This window comes from Homo sapiens, chromosome 2 (genome assembly GCF_000001405.40).
Source record: "Homo sapiens chromosome 2, GRCh38.p14 Primary Assembly".
In the NCBI taxonomy this organism is placed as follows: domain Eukaryota; kingdom Metazoa; phylum Chordata; class Mammalia; order Primates; family Hominidae; genus Homo; species Homo sapiens.
In genome coordinates, this window is record NC_000002.12 from 180,928,341 (window position 1) to 180,951,672 (window position 23,332).

Sequence of the window (23,332 nt, forward strand, 5' to 3'; positions counted from 1 at the left end):
ACTTCTTCTTACTGCCATATTATCAAAGTAATAATAATTGCATATGTAACACAGTGTGAGAAGACCTGAATAACAGTCTTTCGAAAATGGCCAGTGGTAGTGATACAGATGCAGAAATCTTTGGAAATGTTATGTAAATATTTGAGTTCAGAATTTGGTTTGAAGTGTCTAGAAAAGGAACAAGATATTCAAATGAGACAAATGGCTTAGGGGGTTGATGGAAACAGATGGATAGCAATTAGAGGGAATGCTAAGCATGAAGCACCACTGCAAATAGTTCCTGGCTGGAGAAGAGCAGATGATCTGAGCCTGGGAATGGGAGGACGGAGAAAAAAGAAGAAATTGCTTACTCCAGCTCTTGCTCGACCTTTACATCTAAGAAAAAAAAATTAAGGTAGAAAGCAACAAAGGAAATATCATCAAATGGAAGTTGTCTGTGATTCTCAGTATCTGTATAATTTAGCCTTTCTCCCCTGCTTCCCACCTCCCTCCCTCACCTGCTCTTCTTCAGTCTATTTGCCTCTTAACCAAAAGTCAGAATTTGTTTCATAAGTTTTGTTATTTTCTTCATTTTGTCATAAAGGTCCACAGAGTTTTCTCACAACTGCAATCTTAGAATAATAGTGATAAAGGGGAGAGAAAAAGAACTGATGGAAAGGTATTGGCTAATAAAATTTAATTTTTTCATGTTCAGGAAGTCTAGAAAAACTGAGTGAAACATGAGGGCGAAGGACTTGATATGGCTTATAAATTTACCACGTACATGATCAAGATGATTGGCTGGAAATTCTCAGCTTGGGAAATCACTTTTAGCTGGAATAAGGGGGGCAAGTTGGAAAAGATGCAGAACTGTTGCATTATTGTTTGGTTTATTTTGATCATATTTAAATATATTGTACAATGATATTTAAAAAACACCATGTAGTAATGTTTATTATTTAAATTTTATGTTTCCTTTTCTGAGGCTACCATTACACTAGTCTGAGGCATTAGTATTTTCACAGGAAATTCTCGGGCATAGTTGTAATCACTCACCTTCAAAGATCTTTAAACATGTATCTTGACCATTGAAGACCTTACTGAAATCACATTAGGTCAAATAAGATGAATAACACAAGAAACGGTGTATAAGAAGAATTAAAATATTTGAGAGAAAACAAATCTAATTATTGAATGGTATTTAGTGGAAAGATGTTTGCTCTCAAGGATAGCAAGTTACTTAAATTGTACGCATTCCTTGTTTTTTGGCAATGGAAGAAGAACCACTGGGGTTTTCAAAACATGTATCAATTAAGTCATAATGAATATGTATATATCCTGATTTGAAAAAAAGAACATTTTATACATATGTATATATCCTAAAGCTGACTGTTAAATATTAAAACAAATATAGTTATTTAATAACAAAAAATAAAGTGGACGTTAGAAACTATTTAGACATGGTAATCAATTCCAAAAACCTTCACAGATAATTTGGCCAAATGTTTAAGTTTTCTTCAGAGAAAATGAGAAATATTCAAAGGAATACACAAAAATAAGATTATTACTAATTGTATTATTAATTATAATTATTACATTGTATAAATTATTATATGCACAGTAATAATGCAACCACAATTCTTGTAGAAGCATGACTTTTAAAAAGTTTAGAATAAGATAGAGCATAGTTTAACGAAGCATGTTATATGGCAGCAAGAATTCTACCTGAAAGTCAGAGGCCTGGATTTCTGCCCTAACCTTAAGCAAATGTCTTCACCATTTTAAGTTTCACTTATATATAAAATGAGAGCTTTGGACTAAATCACTTTCATTCTCTTCCAATACTCATATTTTATGAATCTACAAAATCTTGTAATATTGAGGAAATGAGTTTTCAATCCAAGATGATTAGTGTTTAAAATTTGACTGCTTTCCAGGATTTAAAATTAACAAACTATACTCATTTTTAAGGAGTATTTACATATTAAAAAATTCTAGAAGCACATACACCAAAATGTTGACATTTATTTTATTTAACAGATATATATTATTGCTATCTCATGGCAGGTACTATACTCTTCACCATGGATACAATGGAAAACAAGGAAGGCCTAGATTTTACCTTCAAGGAGTTTATAGACTAGTGCCTATCTCTGCAAGGCAAAATTGCAGTGTGATTTTGTGTCTTTCTTTAATCTCATTTTCTAGAGTTTGTTACATATAATACTATTGAAGGAAAAGAAAGTTACTACTTTTAAAAATTCAACTGTTTTTAAAAATCATGTAGTCTTTATCTTTACAAATAATGGTGCACAAAGGAATATTCAGAACTTAAATGACTCTAGGATTTTTTCTGACTTTTATATTAGGTTCAGAGGTACATGTACAGGTTTGTTATATGGGTAAATTGCATGTCACAGGGATTTGGTATACAGATTATTTTGTCGCCAAAGTAATACGCATAGTATCTAATAGGTTGTTTTTCTATCCTCAACCCCCTCCCACCCCCAACTCTCAAGTAGGCCCTGGTGTCTGTTGTTCCCTTCTTTGTGTTCATGTGTATTCGGTGTTTAGCTCCCACTTATAAGTGAGCACATGCGGTATTGGTTTTCTGTTCCTGTGTTAGTTAGCTAAGTGTTATGGCCTCCAGTTCCATCCAAGTTGCTGCAAAGGACATAATCTCATTTTTTATGGCTTCATAGTATTCTATAGTATATACGTGCCACATTTTCTTCCACCTAGTCTACTTACATCGATGGGCATTGAGATAGAGTCCATGACTTTGCTATTGTGAATAGCGCTGTGATGAACATACATGTTCATGTGTCCTTGTGGTGGAATGATTTATATTTCCTTTGGTATATACCCAATAATGGGATTGCTGACCTCAGGATTTTTAACAAAAGCAAGACAATTGCTCAAATCTATTCTTACGAGCAATGGGCTTTCTGAATTTTATGATGTCTGAATTTTATTGCTGACTTATTATTATATTATACCCTTGTGGCCAGTTGACCAGAGTACCCATGGTAGTATCATCAGGCTGCTTACAATTTCAGACCCCATCTAGAAACCTAGGAGACTCTTGTAAGGACTGTGGTCATAAAACACCAAGAGGGTACTTTTTCTAAAAGCAAACTCTTATGGACAAACCTCAGTAGCCCTATGCCCCATAGTAAAAACTCTGTAGTACTATATATAATGATAGATTTGATCCAAAACTAGAGCAACCTCTCTGATGAAGCCCATCATACTATCAAAATCCTTTCCAGGAGCTCCACAACACTGCCCACTACTTGGTCAATTTTGTTCTCATCATTGTTTATTGTCCTCTGTTTAGTTTTGTATGATGCACTTTTGTTGCCTTAGAGTTCTCCTTGACCAAGGATCTATTTTGGATAAATTGGAGATTGCTTTTAACATTTGCAATGATGTTTTTCAACCAAATATTACTCTCTTTTTCATCACATTTTTTTCCTCTCCTTTCTGATAAATGTTCTTTTCGTAAGTATTAACACTTCCAAATCATCCATAGGCCTAGGTTCCACATGAATTTCACCTGACTGGCATTTTAGACATTGTTGTTATTGTTATTTTGTTATTACAATTACTTTTTCCTTACTAATCTGATAATACATAGCTTGCTACATATTTTCATATGATTCATATTACCATTATTATTATTGCTATGACAGTTAATAATCTATTACTAATTGATATTAGTAATAACTCTAATATTAGTAATACCTCTAAGATGGTAAATCAGCAATTTTTAAGGGTTGACTAGCTTCTTTAAAATATCTTGCAGGCAGAAAAACAATATACTTCCACTGCAAACTGTCTGTTGATATCTATGTAATACAAAAAGTGAAAATAAACATTTTGGATAGAGAATAGTCTTGGAAATAAAGGCAAATATATAAAACCATAGACCCTGAGAGTGTTAAGGGCCTTAGAGACCTGCCTAATGCAGAAATGTATTGTATAGGTTCCCTAATAGCAGACATATTTATATACAATGTAGTAGTTATGGCCAAAAGGGGTATATGTTATAATAATACATGTGATATTGATGATGATCTATGTAATTATATCAGGGAGAAGGTTCTTATTTTGTTAATAATTTAAGGGATAGTGCATCAATTCTATAGGCAGCCTACTATGATATTTAATAACTTCAGAAAATTCAGAGTAATATAATAGAGATATCAGTAGCTTATTAATTTGTAGAACTGGATTGCAACCACTCTTCCCTCAATGTCCTATAGTTCTACCGTGGTATTTTATTATTTTGCACCTAAGTTACATTCGTCATGTTGTAGTTTAAGCCTGTGTCATGATATTCTCTAGCCAGTAGGAATAATCTATATTTTTATCTATAGTTTTTAAGGTTTATTAGGTTAAAGTGATCCTTCATATATCTTGTCACTAACCTTTTATTTTAAATTTTTTTCAAGTCTTATAAACACAAGGCTGTTTTGCAGACACAAAGTCAAACTAAATGTTACCTCTGCCCTCAGGGAATTTCAGTGTAGCTAGGAAAAATGAAACAAATTATAATAACCCCAAATTGGTTACTAGCTGAGCTTAATCTAAGCTCTTTTTGGTTGTGCAATGTAAACTGCAAAAGCATTTGAATATGAAGATGATCTGGCTACAACAGTGCAGATTCTATTAATCACCAATATTAATTTGGCCTGGCGGGTGAACCTGTTCTCCCTCATTACTCAGTCCTGCCTAGAGCATGTGCCATAAAATGTCCTAAGTGCTTTCCTCTCAAAAAAAACATTGCTGATAGACATTATTATGTACATTTTAAACATAAAAAGGTAAGGCTCAGAGAAGTTAAGTTTTTCCTCAAGAGCCACAGCTAAAATCTTTTTGAGTCCAAGCCCCCAATATTTTCAATAAAATATGGCCATGTTCCCCTATTGTATCACAAATAGTTCCTATATTAAATCCTCCCAATATCTCAGATCTAGCTGCAGGAACAATAGACTCTGATTAGGGCAAATAACATGGAAAGTATTGCCTTTTCTATATTCATAATTAAGAGATTTCTAGAAGAAATGAGAATTTAAAATAATTGAGATCAATTAACAGTGACTGCCAACAACATTGTGTTGTGAAAGATTCTGAAGACATGTCTGAGAAGAGTAGAAAAAAAGTGCCATAATTAATTATTGATGTTTACCATGAGAATAGAAAGGGGAAGTGGTTGAGTATACATTGTTCACTTTCTTTTTATCCTTAATCTGCAGGGTACCACAGTTTACACATTTTCCCTACATATAATTTTGTGAATTTATGCTCACTTTATTTTTTACTACTATCCACACTATAATATACCATGAACCTTTGTTCGCCCTTTGTTATCACATAAAACACTAATTTTTCTATTTTTGCTTATTGTGACTATCTACTTCAAGCAATTCTTTTCCTGATTATTAAGGGAACAGATCCTTGACCCATTTAATTTATTACCTTTATCCAGAGACTATAGTTTGTAACTTTGAAGAGCTGGATATCATATGAACATAAAGAATCAAAGTTAACATATAGGAATACAGAGTAATTTATAGCCACAAGGAATTGAGTTATGGTTACTATAGTAACCTTAACTATGAATGTTAAGTCTTTCTAAGGTAGAGAACTCAACCATAATAGAGCAGAAATATGGCTTTTTCATGCTTAATAAGCCAGAAATATTATATATCATAATTGTGTGCAATAAATTACATCTGTGGAGTAAAGAAACCTCTAAGATGGTAAATCAGCAATTTTTAGGGGTTGACTAGCTTCTTCAAAATGTCCTATGGGCAGAAAAATAATATACTTCCCTGCAATTTGTCTATTGATATCTATGTAATACAAAAAGTGAAAATAAACATTTGGATATATAATAGTCTTGGAAATAAAGACAAATATCTAATAAAATCACAGACCCTGAGAGTGGTAAGGACCTTAGACACCAGCCCAAAGCAGAAATGTGTTGTAATAGATTGTAGCCAGACTTGGCTTAAACCTCCAACAATAGAGATCTTATTTTCTCACCAAGCAGTCCTTCCGGTTGTTGTACAGATTGAGGTGTTATCATAAAGTTGTTTCTTTGAGCCAACAATATGCCTTCTTTTTTGCTTTCACCCGCTGATTCCTGCTCTGCTCTCTGGAATGACACAGTGAAAATAATCCCTGTAACAACATTTGACAGTCCTTTAGATATTTGAAGACAGCTATTAAGGTTTTCCACTAGTCTGATTCCTAAGTTTAACCTGTCTCTGTTCCTTCAACATTTCCCATAGATCATAGTTTTCTGACACTGCCAGCATCTGCCAGTCCCATAACAGATTGTAGATGTCTTTCTTGAATTAAAGGGGAAGAGGGTGCCGAATTGAGCAAAGTAACTTTTCCATGTATCTAGTACATTCCAGGGATTGCGCCAACGTTATCTGACTATCTCAGAATGAAGGGATTTACACTTTCCATAATATTCTTATTAACCATGTGGTCAACTAAATACTCCAGATTGTTTCACATGAACTGCTGTCTGATTGCTTTTTCCTCCCATTTTGTACTTACATATTTGCATTTCCACGTCTAGACTGCAGACTTTTATTCCTGCCAAATTTCATCTTGTTGTTTTGGTCTGATATTTTTGCCTGGAAGTATAAAGTTGGGCAATAAAATTTTGAATCTTGAGTCAACCATTGCCAAGCTCTTAGAATCTAATAATTATGTCTTCTATTTCCACTGATGAAAGTGTTGATCAGTAGGGATTGAGGAAAGGAACTCTCCAGTCTTCCCTGTTTGCCTGCATTCCAGATTGAAACAGAGATATGAGTGATACCCTTATCTTGCATATTTGTCCTTAGATAATCTTTATAAAGCCTTTTAATACTACAGTCTTATGTAAACTCACAGCCACCTATAAGATGGACTTGCAGGCATTATTATCTTTGTTTTACAGATAGGGATACTTGCAAGGTCATACAGCTACCAAACAGCACAGCTAAGACTAGAACATAATCCAATTCTTCCTCCTCTATACTATTGCATCTACCAGCAGGACTCATGCTTACCTTGAGGAAAAAAAGTAGGCTCTATCTTACCACCACGAACTACCATTGAAATCCAGACAGCATTAGGAGGAAAGGAAGGTTCTCAATATCCTTTAACCTGACATGCACTATGTCCCTGATAAACAAAGCAAGCCAACATTTAAAAGTAATCTCTGGGCTATGATTCTGCTTACATAACCAGCATATCCATAAGGTTATTATGAGAGGTAATTCTTTTTTCTGAAAACATTATACACCAATCTTAACATTCCACTCCCACCAATCTAATAACTGGTAAAATATGGTAACATATTTTTGAATGTTTTATCCTAAAAAGACATGTAAAAATGTATATTCTTCTCTAAATATGAGTCCTTTACATAATAATTTGTTCTACCATTTCATGATAGATAGGTTCATATTTTTCTGGAAGAAGGACATTATTAGGTGCCAAGCTTTCAGAAACCTATACAAGACTCTATGATGGTTTGGAATATTGCTAAACAGGAGATAGTAGCTAATTGATGAAAGTTTCTTTGCCATCCTGACAGGAATCTTTATCTGCATATAGAGACTCAAATTCATTTTTAGTTATTTTCTGATTACCTCCTTACATATATTGGTCTATGATTGCTTCTCTAACTTGATTTGTCTTATTATTTGGAAATTTTGCCCTTTTGTAGCAAATATGAAATCAAAACAGGTTTTGGATATTGTTACTTCTAGAGACCTGAGATCATTTGTCTCCAATGTAGAGTCTAAGGCATTCTTTTTACTCTTCTTCCTGCTCCCAACATAGCTTAAGAAGTCACTTAGGCTGCATTTAGTAACTTTTTTTCAAACTCTCAAATGTATTCTGAGTTTTAATCTTTCTGACATTATTTCTAGATGTTTGTGTTTCTCTTTTCAATTAGAGATTATTTTTGAGTTTCTTCTTTCTTTTTTTGCGTCTCTTAAAGTGAAAGAGATGAATCAGAAAACTCTTTATACAGCGATACTGATTTTTTTTTACTAATGCTTCCTCATTTTCTTTTTTCTTTGAGTTATTTCTTTTTAAATTTCATCTTTTATAGATCTCCAACCCTCAAAATTTGTTCAAAAAAAGAAGGAAATCTCTTACCCATTACATACCATATTCCATTTTTAGAGTCTCTAAGTTAGAGGTGTATCTGTGTTTTTACTGAAATTTTAGAATTTCGGTTCTTTCCTAATTTATTACATTTTTTATACCCTTTGAGTTACTGGCAAGAACAAATTAGCCAAGAATATGGCCAAGAATACCTTCATACTACAGAGAAAATGTAGTGATAAATGGGTTTGACCAGATGTTTTCCTCTTTGGTTTAAGCAAAAAAACTGTGGAAATACTCTTCCCAATCCATACACATTTTGTATAGATAATGCCTTGGCAGCACCAAATGGGATGGAAAAGGTCTTTGTAAAAATAAAATGTTATTCAGTGAAGTTTGATTACTATTATTTCTGGCATGCCAATATCTTAGAATTATTATTTCATGTGGTGGAAAATTTGAAGATATGTATAAAAATTATTAAATTCCAAATACATGCAGACTTGATATCTTTAGGAGCTGGCATTTTCTGTGCATTAAGGCCTAGCATATTGGTCTTATCAGAAAGCTGAATCCTAATATGAAGAAATAAGCCCCTATCATTGTGGGTTAGTTACCTCAGAAGCTTACCAGTTACTATGATGCTAACCAGAGACTAGGTTGCCAACATAAAGGCTGCTTCTACCAGAGTCACTCTACCCAGTGGTAGACAAGGAACTAGAACCTTGACAAGGAGAAATTCATTTTATTATGGTGAGATCCTTTGTGTACTCAGTATGGTAATTCCAGACAAGCTTGTTAGAAGATTCCGATCTATTTATTTCATCATGCAATACCTTCACTAGAAAATATTAATAAAAGCAACATATTAGGGCCTCATAAGACCTGTTCCTATTTCTCTCATTCCAGAATCAATAACATGCATGACTGTGTGTTCCTAACTCATCCTGGAATGATAGCGACAACCACATGAACCAACTTTTTTCCTCTTTAGAATTTATGAAGCACCTTACATGTGCTGTCTAATTCAATCCTCAGAACAGTGCTACCAGGCAGATGATATGGTTTGGTTGTGTCCCCACCCAAATCTCATCTTGAATTGTAATCCTCATAATCCCCACATGTCAAAGGAGGGAGATGGTGGGAGGTGGTTAGGTCATGGGGGTGGTTTCCCCCATGCTGTTCTCGTGATAGTGAGTGAGTTCTCACTAGATCTGATGGTTTCATGAGGGCTCTTTCCCTTTCACTTTCTACATGAGCTGTCTCGTCTGCTGCCATGCAAGACGTTCCTGCTTCCCCTTCTACTATAATTGTAAGTTTCCTGAGGCCTCCCCAGCCTTGCAGAACTGTGAGTCAATTAAACCTCCTTTCTTTATAAATTACCCAGTCTTGGGTAGTATCTTTATAGCAGTGTAAAAACAGACTAATACAGTAGGTGTAACTATTTCAATTTTACAGATGAGAAAAATCTTTGAAGGTCAATTACTTGCTTCAAGTGAAAGGCTAGGTAGTGACATCAGTGAACCAGAACATCAGTGAAGGCAGATCTCCTTCAATTTTAAACACATCATGTATTCTTTTTGTTATGTTGCAACTATGAGAAAATCTGTGGCTTCTTTAAAAATTCCATCAGAGGATTCAAAGAAGAGATAGAGGCAGAGGTTAATGGTAGCTTAGGTCTGGAATAAGTGGTATTAGATGAGAGTAAACCTAAATAGCAAGGTCCTCAACTGGAAAAAATTTAAAGAACTATTGTACAGGAGGATCCCATGATAAGAACCCTCCAATGACAAGAAATGTCAGTGGCTCCAGCTCTAGAAATCGCCTTTACTCTCAATTGGGATGAACTCTAAGAAGAAATTAAAAGACTAATTAGGAACTTTGGCTGCTGAGACATAGTTCCTTGGGCATAAATGGAGAAAGACATCAGATGATGAGAAAAGCAAAGAAAAAAATTCAGTAGTTTACAGTCATTATATTAGACAAGAAAGACAAAAGCTTTCCAATGTCATATCTTTATTTCTTTAGTGAACTACATTTCTGTTTGCCAAATATTCTTGTTTCCCTCCCTGCAATGTTCATCACTGCAGAACCCTTCCTGTGGGAAGATTATACATTCCCTGCCTATTGCACTTGAAAGTGATTGTGAAACTTGGTTTGACCAATGAAGTGAGAACAGAAGTGAGTGTGTGTGTTATGAGTGCAAGCTTTAAGAGCCAGCTCATGCTTTGCCATGTGTCTTTTCTCTTCTTCAAGAACAGCAACATCCTGAGCAGCAACAGCTCCAATCTATCTATTAAGGCTTGGCAGATTAGTCTTATCAGAAAGCTGAATCTTTTCTTTTTCAATTGTTAGCATTTAATGGACATCCCTCCATGTGGCTTCAAGCCACCAAGACCCCAACCCCACACCCCCACCCCACCTCTTTCACCCTTAATCGTCTCCTTGGCTCTTCTGCTGAAGAATTTGGCCTTCACAATAATAGCTGCTTTGGGAGCTTTCCCTTTCCCAGAACTTTTTAATTGCCAGGTCATACCACATCAACAATGGGAGCAGCTCCAGTCTTGTTTTTAGCAACTTTTACCCATGTCTGCTCCCTGACCAAAGTCCACAATTTGTCAAGATTGACAGCAGGGCAGAAGCTCTGGTTTCTCTTTAAGTGGTAATGCCTCATGCCAACTTTCCCAAAGTAACCTGGGTGATATTTGTCAAAGTTGATCCTGTGTGATGCATGCCACCAGCCTTACCACGGCCTCCTGGGTGCTTCCAGTGCTTTACTTTTTTACAGTGCAGCTGTGGCCGTGGCTCACATAGCCCAAAAGTTTCTGGGTCTTCCTCAGTCTGGATGGCATGTCAGCAGGCCAGACAAAAATAAGAAAGCTGAATCTTAATGATACAGTGTGCCTGAGTCAATCCTGGGACCCCTCTCCATTACATTCTCTACAATTATATCCTAGGTAATCTCATTCAGTTCCATGACTTCAAATACTAACCACAAATGAACAACTTGTGAACCTCATAAAGGTGATCTTCAGCATCAGCTGCTCCTCTGAATTCCAGGCTCATGTATTCAACCTCTCCTCTTACATGTCAAATAACGACCTCAAACTTAACATGAGAAAACCTACCATGTGAATTTCTGTCAAGTCTTCTATTATCTTCATATTTTCTTTATCAGTATAGAAATTTCCTTTCTCTCAATGTTTACACAAAAACCTTGAGATCATCCATGCCTCATCTCTTTTCTCACGAGCCATATCCCATAGGCAAACTGTGTGAACTCTACCTTCCAGTCATACCCAGAGTCTGACTGTCTCCACCTTTATCACTAGAGTCTCAACCATCTCAGTCTCTCATCTGGATTATTGCAATAGGCTCCTACTGAAACCCTTCCACCTGGTTTTTAGGCACTGTATACTCCACACATGGGAGCCAATGGGATCATTTGAAAATAGAAGTTAAATCATCTCACTCATCTGAACTCAAAAGATAAACTCCATATTCATTATCCTACCCTTCTCTTAACCTCTTGTTCTCCTTCACGATTTCTTTTTCTTCTAGGATCTTATCTTTCATCCTGTCCTTCATCACTACCCTCCACATTGGCCTCCTTTCTGATCCTCAAATAAGAGAGGCATGCTGCCACCCCAGGCATTGCATTTGCTTTTCTTCCTGGAAAAGGTTATTCCCAAGCTATCTGCACACTTTAATTCAAGTGTCTACTGAAATATCATCTTACCAGAAGTCCTTCCTTGAGCACATTATACAAAATAGCATTTAATCTTCCGGGGAGAATTCCCTGGCTGAGTGTGGAAGCATGCTGCATGTGATTTGGGCTGGTCACTGCCAAGACAGGGTGAGTCTGAGCTGGCATGGAACCACCCCTCATAGCTTCAGCTGAAATCAGGAGTGGGCCACATGGATGTGAAACACACCCTAGAAGCATTGATTAGCGTTGACATGGAGATATGATGACAAGTTTTTGCCCAGTTAAATGAAAATTTGTTTATAGATGAAAGCAATTAACTGATGAGGCTACTAAATGAGACTTGGAGAAAATTGATTACTGACTGAGGCAATTATTATAAACTAATTGACTAATGAGGACTAATTCTAGCAATTTTACTAAGGTATAATGAGGTCATTTCCCTAACTTCCTCATAAATTTTATTATTTTGTAAGCCATTGCCACCCATACTGTTTTTGTTGTTTTATTTTGTATTTTTTGAATTTAGATTTATGTGTTTAAATTTTAAAAAGATAAATGCTTTATATAAAAAAGCTATAGGAAGCTATAAAGAAATGAAAACTTCACCATATTTCTTATCCTGCTGACAGAAGTTAAAAAAAAATATTGTACTTTGGTGTGTAAACTTTCAGATTTTAAAATTTTTCTGTTTGAATGAACATTTACTTATACATAATATTTAAAATAAACTATATCAACTGTTCACTAACTCATTTTTCGCAAATGCAATATACATTAGATCCTCTTCCATCACTACAATAGATTCCTCATTATTTTTAACAGCTGTATAGTATTCAATTACACAAAAATTCTTTAACTGATTCCTCTAATAAACATTTAAATAATTTATAATTCTTTATTATTAAGAATGATGCTTAAACACCAAAACGATAAAAAGCAAAGTGTGGTGTTCCACATACGTACTACACAGATTCTGGTTTTGAAATGTTACTCTCCACTAAATGGAGCCAGGGCTCCTCAGAAAAATGGCTGATTCCACAGCTGGGACAATGAGAATGAGCCTGAACCATCTTGTATCAGAAACTAGGAAAGTGTCCTAAAAATGATCAAGCTATGTCAAAGGGACATGTAAGCTAACTTAAAGCAGTCTCATTTGCTATATCTGATATAATTTGAGCACCAAAAAATTATATCTTAATAAATATTGTATTTGTTAATATTATGTTAATAAATCCTCATAGAATATTTTTTCTTGAATTAAATTAAAATCCATTATTCCATACTAACACAAAGAAAAAAATAGATTAAAAATGAGAATCTTTCTTATAGAAAGTAAACAAATAAATGTAGAAGAAATGGTGGAATTAGAAAATCTGTATTTGGCAATCATCATACTAATAATTGATCTAGGTATACATCATTATAGGATACTAAAATGATTAGGTGAAAGTTTGAGGGGTACCCAAATATTTGTATCTTTCAACATATACCCATAAATACTTATAAATTAAAAAGAGAAAAATGGCGTGTTTACACTAGAAAAACCTATTGAGCAATTCTTCAACCAAGTGATCACAGGAAACACCACCGGTAAAAGCACAAAACAGTAGCATGTGCCCCCTGGTATCATGGACCAAAGAAAACACTACATGACTTCTGGAGTATTCCTGCCAAAATGCCTGATATGAGCCTAATCATGAGAAAACATCAGATTAACCCAAAGGTAGAGAAAAGCTACAAAATAACTGCTCTGGACTTTTTAAAAAATGGCAACATCATGACACACAAAGAAAGACAGAGCTCTTCCAGATTAAATGAAACTAAAGAGACAAGACAATGAATACAGTCTGTAGCCTTCTTTGCTATAAAGGACATTACTGGGACAATTGAAGAACTCTGAATACGTTCTCTAGAAAAATATCATATCAATATTAATTTCTTAATTTTGATAAATGTATTAAGAATATGTAACAATATCCTAGAGTTTTAGGAAATACACAGTGAAGTATTTAGGGGTAAAGAGTATCCTGTATAGGAGAAAAAGTGTGTGTGTGTGTGTGTGTGTGTGTGTGTGTGTGTGTGTGTGTGTGTGTGTGGAGAGAAAGAGAAGAATAAAGCAAATGTTACAAAATGTTAACATTTGAGCATTCCGAGTAAAAGGTATATTCTTGAGTTATTCTTGAAATCCTTCTATAAATCTCAGATTATTCCAATCATAAAAGTTGTAAGCAGTATTCTAGTGAACAAGAATGTATAGGAATATTTTTATCATTCTAAAGGGATTACTGTAAGATTAATTCCAAGGAGTGGAATCAAAGAATGTACCTACTTTAGATTTTGAGAGATACAGACAAAATTCTTCTCTTTTACCTCCATGTATCATTTGACAATCCACAAATGACACAGGATATAGTGTATTTTCTGATACCTCAACATCAAAAACCACTGTCATTCTTTTGAATGCAAGTCTGATAAGAAATGAGATCTCACTGATGTTTGGGTTTGCATTCCTTTGATTAGTGGTGAGATTGAACATCTTTTTATATATTCAATAACCATTTAAATCTCATTCTCTTTAAAGTAAAGTTCATATACTTTAATATTTCAAATGTTTTTTTAATCATTTACAAGAGTTATTATATTAAGGACACTAAGTAAGGAATTAATACTGGATGTAAATGTTTCCATTCGTTTATCCTTTGTCTTTGACTTTTTAGTAGTGTTTCACAACTTTATGTAATCAAATAAATCATTTCCATATGGATTCAGGATTTCATGTCATCCTTAGAAAAGTGCTCTTCATCCCCACGAGTATAAGTTTTTCTCCTATAGTTTTTTTCCTGGACCTTTCATTATTATTTAACATTTAAATTCACCAAAGCTATTTATTTTGCTTTCTAGATGATTATTAAAATCTATTTTGGTGGATGATAAACTGAATTTATACATTTTTTAAAAACTTCAAAACTTTTTTAAAGTTTTATGTTAATAGAAAATAATAATAATCTGTAAGTCAAATGCTGAACATGGCCTACATAAAACAATTGTGTTATGGAGTAGGTCAAGTTCTCTAGCTTGCTAAAGATTTATGAATTATTTGGATTCCAAGAACAGATTTGGTAGATTATCCCTCATCCCAGTTTTATTCTAACAGTTGATAGGATGTGTAGGAAAAAACTGCTGTCAAATTTCCCAAATAAGCTCCCTTTCCCAGAAATAATATCTTAGGGTAAATATCTGTCTGGAGAGAATCAAGTTGCTTTCTGTTTAGCTGGGGCTGGCAGGAAGTGTCAGTCCCTTTGATCCCTTGAAAGCATATGGGCCTGTGGGCTGCCATTCTCTTGAAGAATCTTGTCATTCCCTGTCAATCCATATTAGACAAGGATGGTGTTTTGTAACAGTTTGTCTCCTTCAAGGTGATTTAGTTATTTTCTGCCAAGATTATGCTAGAGGATGTCATTACTTTTGTCCTGTCTGTCTCATTACTTTTATTGCCAGAGAATGTTGTCGTTTATTTTCACTGATAATCCATCTCTCCTAAAAGCTTCATTTTTACATTAAAGAACATAGAAATAAGATTTCTGCCCTTATTCTTTGAAGATGCTGTCACAAGTAAACAATAAAGAACCTTAAGAAAAAAGGATATTAAAAGTATCAACGTGTTGTGAGTGGAATATTTTTAAAAAGAAAAGAGCAACTATATAAGCATTCAATTACTCGCAGTTGAATGCTTTGGATCACAGCATGTTGGTTAAAAGGAATACTTTGGGCTCAGCCATTGTTAGCTGAGTAACGATGAAAGTGTATTATCATGCTCTTAAAGCTCTCTTCCCTTATTTGTAAAATAGAAATAACAACAGTACTATGTCCTAGTGTTGTTATGAAGATTTATTTAAATAAATACATGGAAAATATTACCATACTACTTGGCATATATTAAGAACTTAAAGAGCACTAAGTGTTGTCATCATAAACAGCATCATCAAATAATAGGATTATAAAATAACATCCCTCGCTTAGTCCCGAACACCATTGCCTATGGTATGCACATGCCCTTGAACTGGCTACCAACAGATCGTGATGAAACTAAAGGCTTCTCGTTAATTTATGAATCATCATAACAATGAAATCTATATAGCAATTATAGAGTGAAGTATTTTTAATAAGATCACTTTAGTTAAGTCAGGCCCCTCCCTAAAATATTTTTTATTTTTAGATAATTGGACACTATTTTGCCATAATTTTACCAAAATATTTTAGATAATATTTTACCATAATTGCCTCTCTAGATGAAGAGGTTTGTCATAGACTAAACATAAATAAAGACTTCTCTTCCACAGTACCTGTGTCATTTGGGGGACCACTTTGGAAAAAGTGGCTGCCTGAGGCCTCTGATTCAGACCTCGGACAGCTCCTGACACAACCCCTAAATCTTTCGACCAATGACTCCCTAACTCCTTTTACTCTCCCTTTTGTCCAGCTCTCCCCGCTCTAATATTCCTCCTCATACTCCCTGCCATTTAGTTTAGAATAATTCTATGTTTACTCCTATTCTTCTAGTCTTCCTTTTTAATATACTGTATATTTCACATCTTGGAGCAAAATTCAAATTGCCAGGAAATAGACACTGTATGATATGTTAAAGAATAAGCTAAATAAATGTGGCACAAAATATAAGAAACGAGGAGAAAATAAACATGAAAAATAGGATACTTAAATATTTATAAAACTTAAAACTAACTTCTTTGTCTAATCCCATCAGTAACATTAGAATTACTGGACCAATATATTCAGAAGTGTTAACAGATATATTACAGCTTTATTTAACATGATCAGGTAACTCATGATATTCTTGGAGACAGTGGATAGACATTGACTAAACAGAGATTCTGATAGATACATTCATTGGCAGTTGAATTGCTCTGCTCAATGTGTGCTGATTAATGGACTGATAAAGACAAGGTTCTAAAGAAGAACAACAATTAAAATGTATGCATATTTTAAAATGTATTGATGTATGACTAAGATTCAGTGAAATGTACAGATTTTAAGGATATTGTTCAGTTTTAACAAATGCATGCACCTTATGTAACCCACACACCTCTCAAAATATAGAGTATTTCTATCTCTTGAGGATGTTCCCTCCATGCATTTGCCCAGTCTTTCTCTCCCACCCAGAAAGAACACTATTCTGATTTCTATTATCATAGATTAATTTCATAGAACTTCATTTAACATACAATATGCACTTTGGGGATGCTGGCTTCCTTCACTCAGCATAATGTTTTTGAGATGCATCAATATTGCAGACTGTGCCACTAATTTAATACTTTTTTGCTAACTAGTATTCTATTGTATGAATATACCAATTTATCCATTCTCCTATTGATGGACTCCTGCGCCTGGGCCATTTCCCTCTTGAATTAATTTTTGTGTATGATATGGGGTAGGTAGAGATAGGCATGTTCATTTTTTTTCCCACGTGAATATCCAAATGTTTCTACACCATTGGTTGAAAAACATTACTCCCTATAGAATTGGTTTGGGTTTTGGCACCAAATCATTTGACCACACAGACGGGTGTATTGACAACTTGTATTCTGTACCATTAATCAATCATTTATATTTTGACCAATATTACACTTTTTAACTCTGTACCTTTATACAAGTCTTGAAATTAAGTTGTGTAAACTTTTCCACTTTTAAGATGATTTTAGCTATTCTAGGTTCTTTAAATTTTCCATACAAATTTTAGAATCTGCTTGTCAATTTTTCAAAAAGTCTTACATTATTTATATTGAGATTTCATTGAATGTATAGATCAATTTGGGAAGAATGTTTAGTCTTCCCATCCAAGAACATGGTATATCTTTTTTCATTATTTAGGTCTGCTTTAGTTGAACTCAACAGTGCTTAGTAGTTTTTAGTGCAGAGTTCTGAACATTTTCTGTTAACATAAAGAATTTTATGTTGTTGGATGCTACTGTAAATGATACTTTTTTTTAGTTTCCTTTTTCAATTGTTCCCTACTATTCTAGAGAAAAATACTTCACTTCTGTACACTGGTGTTGGATTCTCAGCGTATTAAATTTACTTACTTTTAGTTGGTTTTTGGAAAATTTTTAGGTTTTTCTGTACAGAATCATATAATCTGAAATAGTTTTTTACATTTTCTTCCAATCTTGTGTCATTTTTTTTTCTTGCCTCACTGCATTGACTAGAACTTCTATCTAGCACAATATTGAATAGAAGTGGGGGTGGGGAAAGTTTTAATATTTCAACACTAAAGAGTAGGCTTTTCATAAGTGCATTCCAACATATGAATGATTTTTTCATTTACTTCTAATTTTCTGTGAATTTTTTATATGAATAGCTGCTGAATTTTATCAAATACAGGTTCTGCTTGTGTTATAATGATTGTGGGTTTTTTTCTGCTTTGATCTTTTACAACGTAATCTGAATTACATTGATTCTTGAATGTCAAGAGAATCTTGCATTTATATGCTAAATCCCACGTGGTCATGATATATTGTGGTCCTAGTATATTACTTAATTTGATGTACTAATATTTTATTAACATTTCTTGCATCTATGGCTGAGAGATAATTGGTTTACAATTTTTTTCTCATAGTAATTTTATCTGATTTTCATAATGGCATTATTTGGCCTCAAAAATAAACTGAAAATTATCTTTTATTCCTCTATTTTCTGAAAAGGTTTGTATAACTTTGATATTATTTTGTAACTAAATTTTTGATGGAACTCACCAGTGAAACGATTTGGGCCAGGAGTTTTCTTTGTGGGAATGTTTTTGTTAAAAATTCAATCTCTATAGCAGATATGGGGAATATTAGTTATTTATTGCAGTGTGGCAAATCATACCGAAAACTTAGCAGCCTACAAGAATGAGAATTTATTAACTCTCAGTAGGTCAGGAATCCCAGAGCAGCTTTACTAAATTACAGGGTGGTTTTAACCCAGAATCTTTCATAAGGTTTCAGTTAATCTGTCAGCTGAAGCTGTAGTCATCTAAAGATTTAGCAGGATAAACCACTTCAAATTCGCTCACATGAGTTTTGGCAGGCCTCAATACATTGCTGGTCTTAAACTGGTAACCTCAATTCCTTCCCATATGAGCTTCTCTATGAGCTACCTAACTGTTCTCACAACATGGCAGCTGGCTTCTTGTGGAGTAAGTGTTCCAAGAGAGAGAAACAGAGAGAGAGAAAGGAGAGAGAGAGAGAGAGAGAGAGAGAGAGAAATAACCAAGATAGAGACCATAGTGTCTTTCATAAATGAACCTCAGAAGTAACATGCCATACTTTCTGTTGTAATCCCTTGGTCATACAGATCAACCCTGGTAAAATGGGAGGGCAAAATACAAGGTGTGAATATCAGTATTGCTAACTACACAAATGAACACAATCTTAAGCAAGAGAAAAAAATACCCTTCAGAACAAGAAAGTATTGGTGCCAATAATATCTGCTACATATTGGAAGTATTATACTCCTTTCTGACACTAATAAAAAGAAGCCTTGGCAAACTGAAGCAGGCAGGCAAGAAACAGTCAACAAATATTGAGTGTTTATTAAATGCCAAATGAAAAATGGTAGTTACAAATGGTTGAAAAAGCTGAAAACTGGCATATTCTTTGACCTACTAATCCTACCTTTAGAAATTTATCCTGGGAAAATAATACTTAGAAAAGCACACAAAGAGTTGTATGCAAAGAGTCTTTGCAGTGTTGTTGTTTAGCAAAGTAAACTATGCAAAGAACTTACATGTTCAAAAGTAGAAAACTGTTCAATTAAATTAATATTTGTACCTATCAAAATTATTTTCTAAAAGGATATTCACTGACAAAATAAAATGTTTTTTATTTGTTTTAAGTAAAATAAAAACAAGTCACGAAATAGAGTATTTACAGAGTGATCCTATAGTAAGAAATACGTATTTATTTAAAAAGTCTAGATACAATATCATTATTCAAAACCTTTTTAAATTATTCCACAGTGGACATTTACAGTTTTAGCTTACCCAGGATCTATTTCTCCCTCTCCTATTAACAAGATCCAGACTGTCCACTGATCCCTTTCTTATCTTCTGTCCACTGATTGGGTAAAATGAATTAAAACCCAAGATTAACAAACAATCATTGTATTCTCAATCACAAATATTGATTGAGGGATGGAATTAAGAGTCAATTCCCAGTCATTTGTTTGAATTTAAGCTTGAAGTAAGAATGGCCATGTTGCTGCTGCCTGGAAGCCAAGATGTGGAGAGAGGCCTTAAGACATCATTTGACCCTGTATCCGTAGCCAAGCCTGGGTGTCCTCACCCCACTCAGGCTCTCACACCTGTGCTAGGTCATCACTCTTCTCTCCACCACATACACTCCTATCTTAATTGGCTCCATTCAGTGGCTTTTGGGCTGAATAAGGAAGAAAGGATAGAAACAAAGGAGGGATAGATGAACACAGGAGGAAAGAAGAAAGCTTAGGTTTCTTCTTTATTTTTTAAAGATAGCTATGTAAGAAATTAGAAAAAAAATTATTTTACACAAATGAAGACAGATACAAAGGAAACCATACTATTGTCTTCAAACAGGTTCAGAACTCATCTATAGAAACAAAAACAACTATTGTGCACTCCATAGTATAAATTACAAGGTGACATAATTTGCTTCAATATATGTATGCAGCATAATATTTTAACAATTTGAGCTGGATACAGATAAAATGGGATGCCTTACAGGATTATAAACCCCTTGTAACTGGAAATATTCAAGCAGAGAATAGATAAAAATTATCAGAGTTTTATATAGGAGCTTCATTCCTACTTTAAAAGAAAGGCAGAACAAATGACAATTAAATTCGTTAGCTTGGGTAGGTAACTAATTTGGGGTGTCTGGGCTTTTATTTATCTTTTTGTTTTTAAATATAATAAAGTAGTCCATACACAGCACACTTTTAAACATAACTCTAGAGATGTCTGAAAGAGGATATTTGAGGAAAGCGTTACACAGTGTTTTCTAGTAGCTAAAATAATTAGGCTCTGATCTTTTTACAACTCAGAACAATCAGTAGTCGTAGTCAGGGCATTAAATAAAAACAACTTAGTGGGACAAACAGTTCCCTTTTGAAAAATAAAACTACTCTGAATTACACCGAGAAGAGAAATTTCCCTTGGATAAAATTTAAGACATTATATAACATATTAAGAAAAGAAAAACATTTTATTTTTATCAGCATGGGATTCAAGAGTGTTTTTTATGAAAACCTGAGCATGACAAAGAGTAAAAAAGCAAAAAATATTTATAAATATCTAAACCATCACAATTTAGCTAATGGAATAAAATACTGGGTCTATATGGAATAAATTTTACACATGAGTGTTTATTCATTTAAACAATGAACGTTTTGATAGAAATATTTTTACAAATGTATAGGCAGATTTGTCACTTTCCTGCCTTTTTAGACAGAGACTACAAAAATAGCGTTTTAAAGTGGCATGATGACCCACACAGCTGTAATATGCTCAACTAAAGAGCCTAAAAAACCTATACAATTATCACTTTATACTCAACTTATGTTGTATATATAAGTTGATGCCCTTAGAGTCTGATGAAGCAAATATATATCACCCTACATTAGTATCCCATTGATGTGTGTTTTGACTAGCAGTGCCTCCATTTTAAGCTTTTTTTTTCTTTTTTTGCTTTTTCTCTTAATATCAGACTCCAATTTGTCATTCTTCAATGCTGCTAATAGGATTATCTCTAGCAGCCTTTTTCCTCATATCAAATTTGCTTTTTATCTGCTGCTGGTTGCTCCCCCCAGTTTTAGTGAGGTATCACTGACAAATAAAAGTTGCATATATTTAAGATACACAAGGTGATGTTTGATATATATGTATACATTGTGAAATTATTACCACAATCAAGCTAAGTAACATATCCATCACCTCACAAATCATCTCCACTGAGGGTTGCGTATGTGGTAAGAACACTTAACAATCTACTCTCTCAACAAATTTCAACTATACTATATTATTCAGCCTTAAAAAAAGAAGAAAATTTTACCAATTTGGATATTATGCTAAGTGAAATAATCCAGACACAGAAAGACAAATATGGCATGGTGTCGCTTAATGTGGAATTTAAAGAAATTGAAGTCATAGAAACAGAAAGTGGAATGATTGTCAGGGGCCAGGAGTGGGGAAAATGGCAAAAATTTTGTCAATGGGTGCAAACTTTCAGTTATAAGATAAATAAGGTCTGGAGATCTAATATATAGCACGATGACTACCTGCTGCTGTTTTAAAAGCTGGATAGCTTAAGCAGAATAAGAGTACAGAAGGAAGATTAGAACAGAATAGTGGACTGAGTACACGTGTGCCTATTCTTTCCACCCCAAATACTATAAATGAAATAAATATATGTTAAAGATGTGCAATACAGGACTGTAAGACATTTTTATATTGAATTTATCTGAAGTTTAAAATTGCTGGGAGAGAAAAAACTGTTTGGAGTATCGTGGTTCATATGTCCTCCCCTGCAAGAGTAGAAATTGAGACCATCAAAACCATGTGGTTTGTTGGAGCATTGATTCCTAAAAGAAGGGAAGATGGACAGACAAAAATAAAGCATGTTTAACACGCAAACACTTGCTACAGGGAGACCTTCCCCACCACCATACTGGTTATTTGTCAAATTTTAAGAAACTTGAATTACAAAAAGAGAAGCTGCCCTCTTGCAGTTTGATTTGAGCAGAATTCACATTTTTTTCAAGTTGATATGCAAATAGCCTATACGAATAGTAAAGTTTAGTTTATATATAAATTATTTTATTAAATCCATAAAACATTCCTTAATTATTTTGAAGCTAAAACTACTCATGACTTTGTTCAGTTTTGGAAAATTTCAAATTATCATTGCTTCAAATATTATTTCTCCACCATCCCCTCCATTCTCTTCTTCTAGAACTTCTGTTAGAAATACATAAGAATATTTACATCTTTCTTCCATATGTCTTCATTGCATTTTCATATTTTAATCTGTGTTTGGGGTGAATTATTCATAGTATCTTCTCATTTGCTAATTCTGTCTTTTACTATCTCAGTGTAACAATTATCTATCGCTGCCTAACATCCTTCAAAATTTAGTGGTCTGAAATAAGAACAACTTATTTCTTATGATTTTGTGGAATGCCTAGGTGGTTTTCCTGCTAGTCTTGCCTGTACTGGCTCATGGAACTACATTCACGGTCAGGTCAGTGAGGGTCTGTGCTTTGCTAAGCTTTTGAGGTAGCTGAGGTGACTGAACCTCTCACTCCACATGCTCTCTCACCACTCAGGAGGCTAACCCAGACTCTGTGTCAGGATGGTTCTGGTGTTCCCAGCAGCAAGAGCATATAAGACCCCCAACGTTCAAGTGCTTTTGAAGTCTCCACTTGCATCACCTTTGCTAGTGATCCATTGGCTAAATCTAGTCACATTGCCTATCCAAGATTCAAGGA

The 23,332-nt window shown here is 34.2% G+C and overlaps 1 pseudogene; it reads right to left on the reverse strand.

Moving 5' to 3' along the window:
• Positions 10,457 to 10,978, reverse strand: RPL27AP3 (ribosomal protein L27a pseudogene 3; annotated as a pseudogene).